This window comes from Homo sapiens, chromosome 3 (genome assembly GCF_000001405.40).
Source record: "Homo sapiens chromosome 3, GRCh38.p14 Primary Assembly".
Classification (NCBI taxonomy): domain Eukaryota; kingdom Metazoa; phylum Chordata; class Mammalia; order Primates; family Hominidae; genus Homo; species Homo sapiens.
The window spans coordinates 34,039,851-34,060,606 of NC_000003.12; the positions used below are offsets into that span (position 1 = coordinate 34,039,851).

The 20,756-nt window shown below is 36.8% G+C and overlaps 1 annotated feature.

Moving 5' to 3' along the window:
• Positions 17,278-17,557: an enhancer, noted in NCBI's record as "active region_19653". NCBI's record gives its function as "activates an Ori minimal core promoter by ATAC-STARR-seq in GM12878 lymphoblastoid cells {active_cell/tissue: GM12878}" and the evidence as "EXISTENCE:reporter gene assay evidence [ECO:0000049][PMID:35858748]".

A 20,756-nucleotide genomic window follows, 5' to 3' on the forward strand; every position in this document is an offset into this window, starting at 1 on the left:
GTTTGAGACCAGTCTGGGGAACATAGCAAGACCCCATCCCTACCAAAAATTAAAAATCAGCTGAGCATGATGGGATTTGCCTGTAGTCCCAGTTACTTGGGATGCTGAGGCAGGAGAGGATCCCTTGAGCCCAAGGAGTTCAAGGCTGCAGTAAGCCGTGATTGTGTCACTGCACTCCAGCCTGGGCAGTAGAGTGAGACCTTGTCTCTTTCTCTCTAACAAAAAGAGAAAAATCTCTGGAGTTTCTTAGTTTTTTCCTTCTTTCTCCCTTCATAGCACCTGGCACTGCCCAAGACCTGTGACTATTATGACTCTTTCATCCAGGATCTCCTTAAACAGCTGTAGTTTTAAAAATTCTGTTTCATCATCCACCTAGACCATTAAAATAGTTCAGAAGTTCTACCATTTTGGCATCTAAACTCTACTCGCTGTCTCATACCTAGAAGTAATTAAAAACTATTTTGTTCATTTATGTTGGAAAGAGCTTTGGGAAATACAGTGACTGGGTTTCTCAGGATAGAGTGCAGTGCAGCAGCACTTTCATCACCAGAAAAAGAAGGGCCATTTGCTGTGGCTCAAAGGTCCTGGCTGTTCAGAACAGCTCCAACTTCTAATACTCCGTCCCAACAGTCAAACTCATAGGTTCTAAATTTTGATTTTGAAAATATATCTCCATAGCTGGGAGGCAGTTACTTTTCTTTAGGGACAAGGACTTCTTGCCTGGTTGGAGGTCCCCAGGGAAGATTAGAGGCAGTACTGTGAAGTTGCTGTGAGATTTCACACAGGGAAAATGAGACTTGCCCTTTTCATTATTATTTTTTTCTTCTACAGTTACTTCTTCAACTTTTTTTTTTCTCTGAAGACAGAGACTAAAATGTAGCAGTGGGTTCAATTTAGACATTGACTTAGAAAATAAAATGAGCCTCAGGTACCAGCAAGTTTGAATCAACCCCCAAGGGAAGGAGGATCCATCATGTAGTAATTGATTATGTCAGCTCTCCTTTGAGTGTGAGTTCATTCATTGTGGTGGGTGGCATCAGGGCTGACCTTAATCAACCAGTAGATCCCATATTCTTGGACTACTCAAATTTCGATGCCACTTAGGAAATACAATGAATCTGTCATCAGGCCCTTGAATATTCTCCACATCTTGTTAAGTTTTCTTTCAAATTTATTATATAAATATTTTAATAATAAAAGTTTATGAAAGACAATGTAAAAATGTGTTAAAATACAGAAATAGAAACACCAATAGTATGATTATTGTTACCAAACATTGTGATTACTTTAATATATATCCTTGTCTTTTTTATGTGCATGGGTTTTTGTTAATTTTTAAAACACAAGGCCAGGTGCAGTCACTCATGCCTGTAATCCCAGCACTTTGGGAGGCTGAGGCGGGCGGATCACCTGAGGTCGGGAGTTTGAGACCAGCCTGATCAACATGGAGAATCCCCGTCTCTACTAAAAAAAATACAAAAATAGCTGGGCATGGTGGCACATGCTTGTAATCCCAGCTTCAGGAGGCTGAGGCAGGAGAATTGCTTGAACCTGGGAGGTGGAGGTTGTGCCGAGATGGCACCATTGCACTCTAGCCTGGGCGACAAGAGTGAAACTCCGTCTCAAGAAAACAAAACAAAACAAAACAAAAACAACAACACAGATATCTCTACAGCAAATGCAATTTTTATCTTAAAAATTTTTTACTAAATATTATAGCATACTTAGTAATTAGTATTTGTTATTGACTATTCTTGACTGCTAGTCATTGTGTGGAGGTACTTTACTTACTTATCATTCCTCTCTTGAGGGCCATTGCTATGCTCTGACTGTGTTCCCTGAAATTCTTATGTTGAGATCCTAACCCCCAATGTGATGATATTAGGAGGTAGGGCCTTTTGGGAGGTGATTAAGCCATGAGGGTAGAGCTCTCATAAATGGGATTGATGCCCTTATAAAAGAAGCCTAAGGGAGCTCATTTGCCCTTCCACCATGTGAGGACACAGCTAGATGGCTCCATCTATGAACCAGAAAGTGGGCCCTCTCAGACACGGAATCTGCTGGTGCCTTGATCTTGGACTTCCTACTTTCAGGACTTTGAGAAATAAATATCTGCTGTTAAAGCCTCCCAGTCTTTGGTATTTTGTTACAACAGCCTGTGCTGATTGAGGCAGGCATGTGGGCCTTTCACTCCTTTGGGTCTTCTCCATTTTATCCTTGGATCTAGCTGAACCATCAGCGCTTGGGCCAACTTGTTCTACACCCTTAAAAATGATTTTTTTCTGCCTTGTGTTTGGAAGGCTGCTCTCGGCCTCCTGGGGGAGATGCTTTGGGAACCGGCATGACAGGTGTGTGTTCTCAGGCTCTCAGTAGCATTCCAATGCCACGCCGGCCCTGCACGAGGCCTATTCTCAGGCCACGGCCCAGGAGCAGCTTCACTTCTTCTAAGCCACTATTTTGTTTTTACTGATTATATACCATGTTGTTTAACAACCTAGATTCCTTCTCAAAACCAAGTTATAAGTTGATTCTCAGCAAAGGCATAAAACCTCAGCAGTTTGGATTACCCAAAAGGCAGTTCAAATACCTATCAGGTGCCCCAATCATTTATTGCTTTACTTTTTCATCTTCAATATGCCAATGGAACATTTTGCTATCAGGAAATCTAGAAAAAAGGTTATTTTAATTCCAATAACATTTCAAATTTTAATTAAAAAAAATTTAAATTCAATAATTTCAATATGTTTTCTGTCTGGTCTAGTACTGTTTTTATTTGAATTGCCCACATGGGCGTTGGGGCCCCTAGAGGCCTTATAGCCACTCTTTGGACTTGCCTTAGCTCTGGGTTTTCTATTGTCTTTATTTTTCCATACATTGCTTCTTTATGTAGTTTGTTCTGCTGAATTGTAACTACTTTTGTAAGCCACCTCCAGTGATTTTGGTAATGAGATGGTATATAACCATGAATAAAAATGCCATTTATTGGGTCAAAAAATGTGAACTTCTTGAGGCTATTGATGCATACTGCCAATTAACTTTCCTTTCTCTGATTACCTCCCTGGGCTGTCATCTGTTTTTTTCTTGGACTTTAGGACATTGGGCTGCTACTAAAAGGTCTAAAACTACTCTTAGCAATGAAATAAGAGGGTTAATGTTCACTTAGTTTGAAGACTCAGTGAATGCCATATCAATTTTTAAAATCTAACTCACTCTTTCTTCTGTTGTAGAGTGAGTTCCCTGGGAAGCTGACTCTGAAACTGGCAATGTGCAGGAAGCTTTTTAGAAAGTGCTCTTGAGATCCACAACTATGGAAGGGATTAGGAAAGAGACAGAATTAGGCAGAGGGTAAAGTTGGGCTGTGATACAGTTTCAATGAATTCCTCAGGATGACTCTATAGGGAGCTCTGATGCTGGGATGGCTCTTCAGAGTGGTCCTAAGTTGGAATAAGAAGGCCCCAGGTAAATCAAGCAATGGAGCAAGCTTCTCAGAGGAGCAAGTGAGACCTTGGGCAAGGCAGTTCCTACAGGGGGCTGACAGCTGGGGGTTATCTGCCAGGAGCACTGCAAGTCGCTGGGGGAATAAGTTCTTTCCTCTCAAGAGATCAGGATGGTGTATCATAACCTCTCCCTCATCCTCTTTGACAATAGAAGCCTTTAGGCATCACCTGATTTGGGGCATTGCTAGGTCTGTGATGTTTCTTTGCAAGAGAATTTAGCCTGCATTTGTGAATATCTTCCCTTTAGTCAGCATTCAGCACCATTGCCACCTATGATTTAGGAAATCCGCATCGTGGTTAGCCTTCTAATTTTATAATTACCTTTCCAGAATAATAACCTCATCCAGGTGTTTTGTAACACAGAGCAGCAAGGGACATTAATTTCAATTAGAAGGGGAAAAAATACAAATTGAAGTGGAGTTGTGGCAAGAAAGAAAGCTCAAAACGCATTTCTTTGAGTGTACTTCATTTAGGTAATTAAATCTCTGCAATGCGACTGAACCATTGGCAGTGGTGCCCTTTAAGATGGATATTTAAAAAGTACATGACTCTGGAATTTGAAGCTGTTCTGGCTGCCCAGCACACATCTGGAAATAAAAGAGGTGCAGAGAGATTGAGGCAGGGTGAGACCTCGGCAGGGTGAGACCTCAGGGAGGCAACAGAGGTACAAAGAAGCATTCTTCCTTTGTGTTTTCACACTTAACATTTTTTCTTGGAATAAGAATCTGAGCCTTGTAAAAATGATTTCAAGTTACTTTCCAGCATTTTGAAAGGATAGTGAGGGAATTGAAGGCAAACGAAGGGCTGCGGACATTTACTGAAGAAAAAAGGTAAAGGTTTAAAGGTTCTTCCTGTCCTCTTCTTCCTCACTTGACTGAGGAAATCATGGATCTTGCTTTCTCTGGCTGGCTTGGCAGAGTTGCAGAGAACATGAATTAACATGGGTATAAGGACCCCTTCTCTTGGTGAACTGGCAAAGCTGGCAGGCATTGAGAGAGACAAGTTCATACGAGAAAAGGGGACACAGAAGAGAGACCTCTGCTCCCTCAGCCAAGATTCATGTCACCAAGAAGCAGCTGGTTCTGGGGCTCCTGGAAAGGGCTGTGTATTGTGGCTGGCATGCCAAAGGCTTTGGTCCCTGCTTAATATTTCAAATGAGTTGTGTAGGTGGAGTGCTCATGAGATCTCAGCATGGCCAAGGCCTGTCGGAGACCTTCTTTTAAACAGTTAAATCTCAGGGGGGTTGCTACAGTATCTCAAAAACAATTACACAGCTTTCCTCCCCCGAGAGAATTTTTCTGACTCTCTGGCTCTGGTCTGAGACAGGAAACTAAAATTGTTTGTCAGATTTATTCTTCTGGAGCTACCCCAAATGTTCCATTATAACTTTAGTTCACCCATAATGAAGGGAGAGCTGACACAGGGAAAGTGGCATTAAGGGTACAAGGAACTTGGCTTCTCTAATTCTGCAGGGTTAATATTGACAGCTGGAGAGTGGTCTGCTTTGGAAAGACGCACATGTTTAAGTCAAGCAGGGGAAGTACTTTATTAGCTGAGGTTTTTTAGGTTGACATAAGCTTTCTCATGTTTTTGAAAGGGGCAGGAAGCCTAATTTTGCATCTGTATAGATTGCTACATTTTTGATGCTTGTTATTATTACTTTATGAGTTTAGTATTCACGTTTTCGGAGCTTTTTACACCCCTGTATACCTATCTGCATAAGTGGGGGCGCTGGGTAACTTAGTTATATAAACTGACATGAGTGGTATTAGCGCATCTTATCCCTCATCCCTTTAGAAATAGGACCCATCACAAACCAGTGGGGTACTCTTTTTAATGAGAGCACACTTCTCTCTTTTTTTTTTTCCTGAGATGGAGTCTCACTCTGTCGCCCAGGCTGGAGTGCAATGGTGTGATTTCGGCTCACTGCAACCTCCGCCTCCTGGGTTTAGGTGATTCTCCTGCCTCAGCCTCCTGAGTAGCTGGGATTACAGGCATGCGCCACCATGCCCAGCTAATTTTTGTATTTTTAGTAGAGACGAGGTTTCACCATCTTGGCCAGGCTGGTCACGAACTCCTGACCTCGATTTCCACCCGCCTCGGCCTCCCAAAGTTCTGGGATTACAAGCATGAGCCACCGCGCCCCGCTGAGAGCACATTTCTTAAGGAACCAGTCACTGTAAATATCTTTTTTCTCAAATTCTTGACTGTATTCAACCTGTCATTCTCTAGGCAGAGAGGCCATAAGAATTACACTACCTGCGATTTTTATGGTCCTTTCCTGCCTTAATACTTATAGGCACATGAGAAAGGGTGAAGTCTATTACTCTGGTAAGGCAGAATATCTATCATTGTCAATCATGATTTAATCTAATTTAAAGACTTAGGCTTTTAGGCATTTAGTCCAACTGTTGTTGTTTTTTTTTGTCTTTAAGTGAATTGAGTCATTATTAAACTGGTTTATCCCAAACCCTGGATTAGCACTTCTTTTTATGCATCACCTTGCATTTTCATCTTAGTTCATTTGTTTAAATATTTTTCCATGTCTATTCTTTCCAGGGATTTGTGTATGTCTTCAACTTGCCATATATTTGGGGCTTCAGACTCACATGGCATTCAATAGTCTTAGAACCTCTACAGTTGTTAGTTATGTATTCCGCAGGGAGCGGCTTTTGAATAAAGGACTTTTTTTTTTGATCAGCTGAGACTTTTCTAGCACTTTCCTAGCCCAGTCTTGGCTGGTGCAGGGAGGAGCTACACTTTGGATATTTCTCCTCACTTCCTGGTTATATGGTAAATGTATCGCGTAAAGCACAAAGGATATTTCTCCTATAAAATGACGTTTTAGCTGTGAGATGCTTTACAATTCCATGTACATACTCTTCTTAGTAAATTGTCTCTGAAAGGGGAACACAGAGTATAGGAACTGCTAAGTTTCTGAGTTGATCTAACTGACTGACTGACCTTGTAGATGAGCAAACTGCTGCCCAGAGAGTTTAAGAGCCCTGCCCAAGATCACACAGTAGCAAATGAAGACCTAGATTTCCCAGTTCTGTGTTTTTAGTGTGATTTGCACTCCTTTTCCTCAGGACTAATTTTTAAAAACCTTCCAGAAACAACAACTTAATGGAGTTTTTTCTATTTCATTAGTTGCTTTTACTTTATCATTTTCTCTTTTCTTTATAATTTCTTGAGGTGTTTTATGTCTATCATTATTTGTACAATGACACTCATTAATTTTAAATTTTCATTCTTTTCTAATACACACATTTAGCAATATAAAATTTCCTTTATATACTACTTTAATTATCTTCTACGGCTTTTGATATGTATTATTTTTATCATTATTTTTTCCTCAAGATTTTATTATATACATCCTGATTTGTTCTTTGACCCATAATGTACTTAAAAGAGTGTTTTAAAATGTCCAAATATGTGGGTTATTTAGGGTTATCTTTCTGTTATTGATTTCTAATTTAATTACACTGTAGTCAGAGATCATGGCCTCTATACTTTTCATTCTCTGGGATTTATAGCAAATTGCTTTGCAACCTTTTATGTGATCTATTTTTGTAAATGTTTCATGTTGCTTGAATAAAGTGTGTAGTCTCTAATTGTTGGGAATAGTGTTTTATATAGAGCCATTAGATCAAGTATTTTAATTGTGTTCTATATCTTCACTAATTTTTTATTTGCTTAATTAGGTACTGAGACATGCATATTAAAATTTCTATTATGATTGTGGATTTGCTAATTTTTCTTTGTAATTCTGTAAAAGTGTGCTTCATAAATTTTGAAGCTGAGGTTTTAGAAAAAACTGCAGAGTTTATACAGTGAAGGCAGACTGGCTGGGTCTGCATTGTGGCTGTGCCGTTTACAAATGTTGAACCTTGGGAAAGTCACTTACTGTCTGTAATTCAGGATTCTCATCTGTGAAATGGGCTGCACCCTGAATATCATTGTGAGAATTAAGTTATTTAATACATATAAAAAGGCACTTACAACAGTGTCTGGCAGTGTCTTTTTATATGTATGAAATCACTTAATTCTCATAATGATATGGAGAGTCACAAAACATTCAGACTATAGATTATAGATATATACTCATTACATAGGGATAAAAGGAGCAGTTTGCAAATAATAATAATAACATACTGGCACAACAGTGTCTGGCAAATTGCTCCTTTTATCCCTATATAATGAGTATATATCTATAAATATGATGTTTTTGACATCTATATAGATATTACTATAGTCTGAATGTTTGTGACTCTCCAAAATTCGCATGTTGCAATCAAATCCTTAATGTATTGGTATTATGATGTGGAGCCTTTGGGAGGCCATCAGGGCTCTATTTTCATGAATGAGATAGTGCCCTTTTAAAAGAGGCTTGAGGGAGCCCCTTGGCTCTTCTGCCATGTGAGGACATATAGAAGCCACCATTTATCAGGAACAGGCCCTCACTAGATACCAAATGTGCTGGCACCTTGATTTTGGACTTGGCAGCCTCCAGAACTGTGAGCAATAATTTTTTGCTATTTATAAATTGCCCAGTCTAAGGTATTTTTTATAGCAGGCCAAATGGACGAAGATAGATATAGATGTTTATCTCTACTTCTATGTTTGTATTTTTTGTTTAGTTTTCCTTTTCTAATATTCATGTTGCTATACCAGCCTCCCTGTACCCCTTAGTTGGCTATGCCCAGCATATATTTTTCCATCCATATACTTCTAAGCTTTATATGTTGTTATATTTCAGATAAGTCTCTGGTAAATAGAATATAGCAAGATCTATAAATATCCAATCCAAAAATTTCTGTTTTTTTAAATGAATACAGTAAATCCAATTAATTTGTATAATTATGAATATATTGGAATTTATATCTAACATATTATTTTATGTTTTCTATATACTATACCTTTTTCCTTTTTTTTTTTTTTTTTTTTTTTGAGGCAGAGTCTGGCTCTGTCGCCCAGGCTGGAGTGCAGTGGCGCGATCTCAGCTCACTGCAAACTCTGCCTTCCAGTTTCACGCCATTCTCCTGCCTCAGCCTCCTGAGTAGCTGGAACTACAGGCGCCTGCCACCGCGCCTGGCTAATTTTTTGTATTTTTAGTAGAGACAGGGTTTCACCGTGGTCTCAATCTCCTGACCTCGTGATCTGCCTGCCTCGGCCTCCCAAAGTGCTGGGATTACAGGCGTGTGCCACCGCGCCCAGCCTACTATAGCTTTTTTCTGTTCTTTTCTTTCCTACTGTCTCTTACATGAATACAATGTTATTTATTGCCCTTTTTAGCTTCTGCTGTTTTCGAAATGTATTCATTCTGCTCCTATTATTTTATGGGTTACAGTTTATTTTTTAACATGCATAGTTGATTGAAATAGGAACAACAACAACAACAATAACCATATTCTGAACAAATTAAGGATTTTAGGACATTTTAATACCGCTATATAGATTTCTCCTTTTCCCATAACCATTTTTTTTTGAGTCAGGGTCTCGCTCTCACCCAGGCTGGAGTGCAGTGGTGCGATCAGAGCTCACTGTATGTAGCCTTGAACTCCTTAGCTCAAGTGATCCTCCCACCTTAGCCTCCCGAGTAGCTAGAGCTACAGATGCATGCAACCACGCTTGGCTAATTTATTTATTTATTTCATTTATATTTTATTTATTTATTTAGATACAGGGTCTCACTCTGTCACCCAGGCTGGAGTACAGTGATATGATCACAGCTCATTGAAGCCTTCACCTTCCTGGCTCAAGTGATTGTCTCACCTCAGCCTCATGAATAGCTGGGACTACAGGCATGTGCCACCATGCCCAGCTAATTTTTTTAGTTTTTGTAGAGACGAGGTTTCACCATGTTACCTAGGCTGGTCTTGAACTCCGGGGCTCATGTGATCTTGCCTTGGCCTCCCAAAGTGCTGGGATTACAGGCGTGAGCCACTGCACCTGGCCTAATTTTTTTGTTTTTATTTTTTGTAGAGATAGGTGTTTTGCTCCATTGCCCAGGCTGGTCTTCAACTCCTGGTCTCAAGTGATCCTCCAACCTCAGGCTCTCAAAGTGCTGGGATTACAGGCATGATCCACCATGTCTGGCCCATGTTTCTCTTTTACACTACTTTGTTTCTATTGTTTCTATCAGTTTTAAATCTTCTATAAGTCATTAATGTTGTTATTAATTTTATCTACTCATTCAATGCTTACATAACTTTACTCACATAGTTACCATTTTCCTTGCCTACCCCTGTTTTCTATATCCGATTCTTGCCTTTAGGGTTCAGTGTTTTTTTCAAATGCATCATTTTCTTTAGTAGATGTTTCTGTTATAATGAGTCTTCACTTCCTCACACTTCGTTTGAAAATGAATATTTCCACATGCTCCTTGGGTCAAGTATTAGCAATATATAGAATATTAGGACAATTATTTATTTTCTCTTAATCCTTTAAAGATATTAATCTATTGTGTCCTGGCTTCTGTTGTCACTGGTAAGAGTCTGCTGTCAGTTTAATTATTGGTCTTGTAGATCATCTATTTTTTTCTCAGATCCCTTTTATGGTGTTTCTTTTTGACTTTGATTTTATTGTATGTGCCTAGGGATAAGATTTTAAAAGTGTATCATTTTCAGAGCTCATTATTCTTCAACTCAGAATTCATATCTTTCATTAATTCTCGTAGTGTCTCATCTATTCTCTCTTGGAATATTATTTGCTTCTCTCTTTTGTAAAAGTTCTATTTGACATTTTTGACCTCTTTGTTAATTATCCATCTCTCTTCTTCAATTAACTATTCAGTTATGTTTAATTTGTTACTTACCTTGTGCGGTGAAATTTCAGTTTTAATGACTAATCAAAATCTTTTAATTTCTAAAAGTTCACTTGCCAATTCTTTTTTCACAGTTGTCTATTCTTTCCTTATGACTTGAATTCTTCCTTTATATATATGTAATCATTTTGAAGATTATCATTTGAGTCTTTTAAGACTATTATTTATCACAAGTTATATTATAGCCTGTTTGTTCTCTACACTGGGTCACTGTAAGTGTGGTTTGGAATTTTGGATTTTGAGCACATTTTCAGCAGAGCTTTTTCTTATCATTTTTTTCTTTTTTCCTTGGGGAGTCTCACAAATGCTGGGCTGTGAAAGAGTTCCTAGAGTGTGGGATTTCATTTGATTTAGCCAGGTGTCCTAGAGGTTCTTTTTCTTACTTAGGATTAAAACAAAATTTGTTGTTGTTTATTTCTGTACTTGGGGATTTCTGCTGCATAAATTTGAATGCCACATTCCTGTGTAGTATAAGGTTTTGGTCTTTGTTTTTTTTGTGGGAGACTTTAACAAATTCTTCTCAGAGTTCCAGAAAGGGACAAGCCATCTTGTTTTTCTGAGCCAGTGGGTGTGTTTTTTTTCCTAGTCTTCTCTTTTACAAGATATTAGCTTTTCCATGGCCTGGTTTTAGTCTGTGATTTTTGTTTTTGATTCTCATCTTCTGCGGACCCAAAGCCACATTTCCCCTTCCTCTGCATGTATTAAGACCCAGCTCCTTAGGACTTCTTTTCAGTCTGATATGACTCTGGAGTGTCATGACATTGGCCTATGGCTTTATCCTGCCTCTTTTTTTTGGCACCAAAGAAATTTTCATTTCTTTATTTTAATAAAAACTGTGTATTTAATTTTTCTTTTGATCTGTAATTTTTATTTGGTTGTATTGATGGGAGGTAGAGGAATATTGTGTTACCTCAGTCTGCCATGTTTCCAGAACCAAAAGACTTTAGATTTATTTTTTTATTATGGGAACATAAGAAAACCCATAAAAGATTAGTGAACAAATGACAATTTGGAGAAAATACTTAAAACATGTACAATACTGGATATTAATATCTTTAATAAAAAAGAGACCTACAAGTCAACAAGAAAAGATGAACAACCTAAAACAAATTGGATAATTTTAATAATAAGAAAGGCACGGAAAAAGTCAGTCTTTGTGGTAATCAAACAAACATCAATTCCAATAATGAAATACTTTATTTAGGCTATCAAATAGGAAAAATTTGAAAGCAATGATAATGTCAATGGTTTTTTAAGATGTAGGAATATTAATACTCTTAAACATTGTTGATGGCGGGTCTGAGAGTAACTTTTTGAAAGGACAATTTGTGAATATGAGTCAAAAATCTTAACAAACCGTATTCTTTAATACTCACACTTCTAGGAATTTTTACTAATAAACTAATTGGGCAAGTGTATAAAGATCTATGCATAAAGATGAAGCATTGTTAGTAATGTCTAGTAATTGAAACAACCTAAATTTCTAAATGAGAAAATCATGGTAAATCCATTCAATGAAATGTAATAATCAATTAAAGTAACACAGAAATATTCATTAGAATTGAAAAATATTTGTATATATTCTTTATTAATTAAAAATCAGAGACAAAATAAGTGACATAGTAGAAATCAAATTCATTTCTGTTTATTTGTATTTATATGCCCTTAAAAAATCTAGAGAGGCCAACATCAATATGTTAACTTGGTTTTGGCAGTGTGAGTGATTCTTATTTATTTATTTAAATCTGTACCTCACATATAGTTTGTGTCATGAAATGAGGTTAAATATTATAGTATATCCATAGAATAAATTTTTCTTGGCTATTAAAACCTGTGATTCTGAAGAATATTGAATAATATGAACAATGCTTAGAAAATAATATTGACATAAAATGAAGCAGGACACAAAACACAGTAGGTTTTCTATAAAATGCAGTATATGAAATGTGCATATGCATATGGGATGAAATATGAATATATTAATGGTATTTATTAAATCAATCATTATTAACATTATATCAATAATGGTTATTGCTAGATAAGTATCAGTGGCTTTTCTTTCTGCAATTTTGCATTATGTCCATGTATGCTTTTCTAAATAATGAAACTATTCAAGTGCAGTGTTATTCCAAGAGAGGCAGGTGAATGAAGGCCTGGGTTGAAAGGCCAGTGGTCTTTGTGACAGCAGGGGAGGAGTCTAGTGGTGGGGCAGATAGGCCCCGCCTTGTTTGTCTCCAAGCATGTCTTCCACCTGGGAGTTCTGTAAACTTGAGGGTTCAGTCTTTTTATAATTACTGAATGAAGGAAATTAGTCTTCTTAGAAAATATTTGAAATGAGAGTTGCAATGACGTCTGAGAAATATAAAAAATCTGTTTTTAAAAATTTCCTTGTAAGTTCTTCTTGTCCCCAAAGGCTTGTTGTGGAAGCTGTGAAACGGGTAGTAACATGGATGAAGTGGCCCAGGGCATGGCTGCCCATGGATTTGTTTATATTTTCCCTGGTGGGCCTAGGGGAGCCAGAAGGCCTTTGAGCAGAACACTGGAATTTAAATAAAACATGCATCTAGGTTGCGTATTCAACCTTTATTCTTTTTGAGCTGGCAGCTTTCCTGAGGTCCAAGGAAACTCCCGAGAGCTTCAACCACACAAGAATACTCTATGAAGTTGGCAAATATAAGACTGCAGAGAATGTCTATGAGGGAGACTTGGAGAAGGCTCTCTACCCACCAGGCTGGTTAGTTAAGCCACCCTTGGTGCCCATGCAGTGGAATAAGTAACCTAGTGCAGAGGGCTATGGGAAGGGCCCACCTTGGTCAATGCTCTGAAAATGCAAGCATTTACAGTAGGTGATAAAGAGCTACCAGGCTTCCTTTAATGATTACCTAGGACTCATTTGACATGCATACATTTACTTTTTGAATTCGAATGGATGTTCTTAATCTGCTTATAAATGAGTATGCTTCTTAAATATTTGCCTGGCTACTTTGCATTTTAGAACATTCTTAGTAAGTTATCAGAACTCACAAAAGAGTACACTTTTTCTTTACCATAGGTGAATTATCAACAGTTGCAGATTAATGCTACCAAGAGGCTGGTAGGCTTGTGAGGAAATCAACAGAGATCTGTCCGCAGCCTGGGGAACCTATGTTGGTGGGCAGCTATCTGGTGGTAGTAGTTTTCTGCAGGGATGCCTGTGGAAGTGGACAGAGAAGGTGCCAGATCCGGGCGGGCCACAAGTGGGAAGAGCTGATCAGAGACTTCAAGCCTGCAACCTTGGCTTTTGGGGAACTCTCAGAGTGGGCTGGCCTGAACTTTGCCTTTGACCTTGTGCTGTCTGGATGTCCACTCTTGGTGACAAAGCTTCTAACATATATGGTTAGACTATATTCTCTTCTTTACCAACACACACTACAAAGAAAGTTGAAATCATCCTCTTTTAGGCAACAGAAAGCGTAAGAAATACTCACTTATTAGTAAACGAATGAGAATTTACTGAGTATCTTAAAGTTCTCATTTGTATTTTTCCCCCACTGAAATTGTGTCTTATACAAAATTGTGTTTGTTATGCAGAATTAAGAAGTGAATACACCCACGTCTTTGGCACACATGGGTTTTTTATTTCACAATCTGTTTAATCTTTTTGCATATTCCAAGGGAGGCTCACTGTAGGAGTATGTGTGTATCTCTCTGACTTGCAGTCAAGTTATAAAAAAAATCTAGGTCTAGAGTTTGAAAGTATGTACAGGAATAAAAATAGTCGGAAAAAAATAACCAAGGATAACAAACTTATGAGAAAAGAAAGTGTTGGTTTCATTTTAATTTTCTTGCAAAGTTTGTAGAGTTCATCAGAGCTAACTCAAAGTGTCCTCCATATTACATTGATGACCATAGGGACTCACATCATTCCTTTTCTCATGGAGCTGAAATTGAGTTTCAAGTAAGGGTGTATATTTTGTTATTTAGTGACACCTTACCACACACACAAAATCCATAATTTAATAACTTGAAATATTTAAAAAATTTTCCTGGAAATCGTCAATGGACCCTGGGGTCACTTAATGGGAAGGGAAAGTAGGGAATAATTTGATTATTTGAAGATATTCTCTCTCGCTTTTTCCTCTCTCATTTATTCATTCATTTACTTATTTAACTTATTGTATTCTGTTTAATTTAAATTTTCTATTTCTATTCCCTCTCTATAAGAAACTACTCTAGGGTTTTACAATACATCCTTTTGTCTGTTGTTAAACTCTCTATTCCTTGTATTCCTGTTTGTTTTATGTGCTTGTACTTTAAGTTTATGTGAATGGTACTTGGGAATAGATCTCATTCTGTTCCTTTTTTCACTAAGCCCATTTTTAAAAGATCCATCTATGTTGCTGTGTTACATTCAATCTGTCGTTGCTAATACTACATTTTACTTCATGGAATGCTTCCCTTCCTTTTGCTTATTCAGTTGGGAGGTAATGGACTCCGAAACTGCTCTAACTCCCTGCCACTGCAAAGAATTATGGACCTTTGTGAGAATTTATTCAGATTTATAATTTTTACCAGTTTTAACTGAGGTAAAATGATATTTCAATATTGTTGTAATTATATTCTTTGATGACTGAGTTTGTGGCAGTGTTTTGAGTTATCTTTTGTATACACCTTCTATTCATATTTTTGTCCATTCTTCTACTAGGATTGCTTTTTCTTTGCAAATGTCCCCTGTGTATTTTATATATTAGCTCCTTATTCATTTTGAACAGTGCAAATTTTTTCTCTTGATCTGTTATCTTTTAACTTTATGCACAGTATTTTTTATTGACCAGAAAGCATTACTTTTTAAGTAATCAAATATATGGAGATTTTTTTGCCTTGCAGTTTGCATACTTGGGGTTTTATTTAAGCAGGCCTTATCTATCTTTAGGTGAGAAAGATATTCTACTACATTTTCATTTACTAAATTTATGATTTATAATTATAATTTATAATTGTATCTTTCATTTAGGTACTTATCCAAATGGAATCCACCTTTGCATATGGTGTTAGAGTCCCAGTTTTATTTCTAAATGTAATGAGTTATTTTTCTAATACTTTCTCCTAAACAATCTATCCTTTCCCCCCTAATTTATGGTGCCACCTTTATTGAATCATATATATATATATATATATATTTTTTTCTTTCCTGAAATATTTTGCTCTATTTCTATTTGTTCGCATTTTCTCTAAAATTAAACTGTATTTTGTAATTATAGCTTTTGTAAATTCCCAATCTTTTTTCCTTTGGTGGACCTCTATTTGTTTATAGAGGTGATCAAGATCATTAAGTGCCTAAAAGATCAGGTGGAATTTTCATAGTGATTGCCTCTGCAATACAATAATTGTAAATACATATAATTTGTAGATCATTTGGTAAAGAATTTACATGCCTACAATGTAATCCTATTCAAGACCATGGGATGCAACTTCATTCTGTGCCTCTATTTTCTTTGTACTTTATTAAACTTAAAAAATTTTTCTGCATAGTAAATTGTTAGTTAAACTCTCTGGATACTTTAAGCTTTTCTATTGCTGTTATGAAGGTAATATTATTTTTATTATATTTTCTAGTTGGTTACTGAGTTTGAAAGAATGACTTTTGACTTTTGTAAGTTGATCTTGCATCCAACAACTTTGCTTAACTGTATTAGTTCTAATTGTTTGTTGCATTTCTATATTGGGGATTGTATCATCCACAAATAGTCTCCTATCTCTTTTTTAAAAATCATAACATCTCTTCCTTTTTGTCCTCCCTTAACTTCTAGAACTATTTTTTAAGACTTCCAATACTGTGCTAAACAATATGGAGATAGTGCACATACTTGTGGTTTTCACTTTCTCCAATCTTAGAAAAAATCCATTTCCTTATATTCCTAATTCTCTTCTCTTCTATGATTTGCTAAAAGATTTATTTTTCCATAAATAGTTGCTGAACATTATCAAATTCTTTTCCTGCATCAACTGAGGCAATTGTATATTATTCTTTCCCTTTCAGTCTATTAATGAGGTCCCATTACTTCTGGGATAAACCCTACTCTAGCTTGATGTAATTTATTTATTTAAGAGATGAGGTCTTGCTATGTTGCCCAGGTTGGCCTTGAACTCCTGGGCTTAAGCAATCCTCCTGCTTCAGCCTCCCAAGTAGCTGGTACGACAGTCATGCACCACCGCACCCAGCTTAAGAACCAGTTTAAGTATCAGTTCAAACACCATGTTTTTTTTGGTAAAGCCTTTCTAATCTACCTCTTCTTGCTTCCTGACCCCCATCTCTTTTGTTCACAGATCACCTTGTTATATCACTGCTGTGGAATTTATAGTGGTCTTGCTTATTGCTATTCCTTTTCTCACATACCATTAGTTGGGGAGACATCTTAAGAATAGAATAATGTCTTATTTTTGAAGTAGTTTATTAAGGTATAATTTGCATACCACAAAAATCACCTGTTATAAGTTTAAATTCAGTGCTTTTTAGTAAATTTATAGAGTTTGTGAAACCATCAACATAGACCAATTTTAGAACATTTTCAGCCTAAAATATTCCTTCCTGTTAGTTTGCAGTCAGTTCCTCCTCCCGACACCAGCCTCAGGCAATCACTTATCTGGTGTGTTTGTCTCTATAAATTTGTCTTTTCTGGACATTTAGTATAAATGGAAACATATATTGCCTTTTGTGTTGGGCTTCTCTCACTTAGTACAATGATTTTAAAGTTTATCCATGTTGTAGGATGAATTGATAGTTTGGTAATAAACATTTGTGTATAAGCCTTTGTGTGAAAATGTGTTTTCATTTCTCTTGAGTAGTTTCCTAGGAGTGAAATTGCTGAGTCACTTAGTAAGTTTATGTTTAACATTTCAAGAAACTGGCAAACTCATTTTCAAACAGGCTGTACCAATTCACATCTCCACCAACAACATAAGAAAGTTCCAGTCTTTCTACATCTTCAACAACACTTGGTATTGTTTCTCTTTTTGAGTGTAGAAATTCTAGCGGATGTGTAGTGGTATTTAGTTGTGTTTTCAATTTCCATTTCCCTAATGACTGAAATTGTTGAGCAAGCTTTTCCCAGTGTGTCATGTGGCCCCTGAGGTGTATAACCCAGGGCTGGCTGCGTTTCAGGATCCCTCAGCTGTGGTGCAGGTGGAGCTTGCACAGTCAAGACTCCATCCACCCCAGGCAGCTTTCGTGAGTCTTGGGGGATTGGCTCACCGTGCATCCTCTCCTTGGTTTGTCCCACATTACCTCTCTGTAACTTATAAATCCACTTCATACAACTTGTTGAGTGTTAGTGTGTTCTGCCTCACTGGACTCAGGCATTGGTAACACTTCAGCCCAGGATGAAGTGGGCATAAGTGTTTGGACTCCTATTTTTGGTGATTGGCATAGTGATGATTTTTGCTGCTTCCATGCAGTGGGAGTCCTTTCTTGGGAATTGTTATTAATGAACCTGATTCACACCTTCCTCCTTCCCTTCCTAGCTCCATTTCTTTCTTTATTTTCCATATTTCACTGGCTAGAACCTCTAATGCAATGTTGTATAGCAGTGGCAAGGGTGGACATGCTTGCCTTGTTCTCAACCTTTGGGGGAAGCATTCTGTCTTTAGTGTTAAGCATGTTGGCTATAGCTTTTCCATGATGTACTTTCTCAGTTTGAGGAAGTTCCCTTCTATGCTGAATTTTTTGGAGTTTTGAAAAATTAAAAATAAATTATGAATGGGTATTGGATTTTGTCAAATGCTTTTTCTGCAGTTGATGAACTGATTATATTTTTGTTTTTATTTTATTAATAGGTTACATTACATTAATTGTTTTTTGGGTGTTCAACCAATCTTGCATTCCATATATAAATCCCACTTGGCCATGGTGTGTAATTCTTTTATATGCTACTGGACTTGGATTTATAACATTTTGTTAAAATTTTTTGTGTCTATGTTCCTGAGGGATATTGATATACAATTTTCTTGTGATGTTTTTGTCTTGCTTTGGTATCACAGAAATACTTATATAATGAATGAACTGACGTGTTCCCTCTTCTGTTATTTCCTGAAATAATTGATGAAGGATTGATATTATTTGTTCTTTAAACATTTAATAGAACTCACCAGTGAAACCATCTGGGGGTTTCCTTGTGGTAAGACTTAAAATTACTACTTCAATTTCTTCACTTGGTATAGGTCTATTTGGATTTTCCATTTCTTTCTAAGTTTGGTAATTTGCGTCTTTCTAAGAATCTGCTCATTTCATCTAAATTGTCCAATTTGTTTGCAAAAAGTTGTTTATAATATTGCCTTATACTCCTTTTATTTTCCCTAGGGTTAATAATGATATTATCTCTTTCATTTATTTTGGTAACTTGTGTCATCTCCCTTTTTTTTCTTGTTTGTTCTAGCTGAGAGGTTGGTCAATTTTATTGATCATTTTAAAGAATCAGTTTTGGTTTGAGTCCTCTATTGTTTTTCTGTTTTCTATTTCATTGATTTTTCATTCTAATCTTTATTATTTCCTTTCTTTTGCTTGCTTTGGTTTAAGTTTGTTCTTTTTCTAATTTTATAAGGTAGAAATCTATGTTATTGATTTGATAACTTTTTCTTTTCCCATGTAGGTATTCTGATATAGAATGTAGTTTTAGCTGCATCCCAAAAATTTTGATGGATTATATTTTCATTTTCTTTCAATTCAAAATATTTTCTAATTTCCCCTTTGATCTATTCTTTGATCCATATATTTCGTTAAGAAAAATATGTTGTTTTACCCAAATCAATAAATGTAATCCATCACATAAACAGAACCAATGACAAAAACCACATGATTATCTCAATAGATGCAAAAAAGGTCTTTGATAAAATTGGACATCCCTTCATGCTAAAAACTCTCAATAAGTTAGGTATGATGGAACATACCTCAAAATAATAAGAGCTATTTATGACAAACCCACAGGCAATATCATACTGAATGGGCAAAAGCTGGAAGCATTCCCTTTGAAAACCGGCACGAGACAAGGATGCCCTCTCTCACCACTCCTATTCAACGTAGGAAGTTCTGGCCAGGGCAATCAGGCAAGAGAAAGAAATAAACGGTATTCAAGTACGAAGAGAGGAAGTCAAATTATCTCTGTTTCCAGATGACATGATTGTATATTTAGAAAACCCCATCATCTCAGCCCAAAATCTCCTTAAGCTGATAAGCCACTTCAGCAAAGTCTCAGGATACAAAATCAATGTGCAAAAATCACAAGCATTCCTATACACAAATAACAGACAAACAGAGAGCCAAATCATGAGTGAACTCCCATTCACAATTGCTACAAAGAGATTAAATACTTAAGGAATCCAACTTGCAGGGGATGTGAAGGACCTCTTCAAGGAGAACTACAAACTACTACTCAAGGAAATCAGAGAGGACACAAACAAATTGAAAAACATTCCATGCTCATGGATAGGAAGAATCAATATTGTGAAAATGGACATACTGCTCAAGGTAATTTATAGATTCAATGCTATCTCCATCAAGCTACCATTGACTTCCTACATAGAATTAGAAAAAACTACTTTAAATTTCATATGGAACCAGAAAAGAGCCCATATAGCCAAATCAATCCTAAGCAAAAAGAACAAAGCTGAAGACATCATGCTACCTGACTTCAAACTATGCTACAAGACTACAGTAACCAAAACAGCATGATATGTTACCAAAATGGATATGTAGACCAATGGAATAGAATAGAGGCCTCAGAAATAACACTCCACATCTACAACCATCTGATCTTGACTAACCTGACAAAAACAAGCAATGGGAAAAGGATTCCCTATTTAATAAATGGTGCTGGGAAAACTGGCTAGCCATATGCAGAAAAATGAAACTGGACCCCTTACACCTTATACAAAAATCAACTCAAGATGGATAAAGACTTAAACGTAAGACCTAAAACCATCAAATCCCTAGAAGAAAACCTAGGCCATACCATTCAGGTCATAGGCATGGGCAAAGACTTCATGACTAAAACACCAAAAGCAACGGCAACAAAAGCCAAAATTGACAAATGGGATCTAATTAAACTAAAGAGTTTCTGCACAGCAAAAGAAGCTATCATCAGAGTCAACAGGCAACTTACGGAATAGGAGAAAAGTTTTGCAATTTATCCATCTGACAAAGGGCTAATATCCAGAATGTACAAGGAACTTAAATAAACTTGCAAGAAAAAGAAACAAAAAAAAACCCCATCAAAAAGTGGTCAAGGGATATGAACAGACACTTCTCAAAAGAAGACATTTATGCAGCCAACAAACATATGAAAAAAAGCTCATCATCAGAGGTCATTAGAGAAATGCAAATCAAAACCACAATGAGATACCATCTTACACCAGTTAGAATGGTGATCATTAAAAAGTCAGGAAACAGGCCGGGCGTGGTG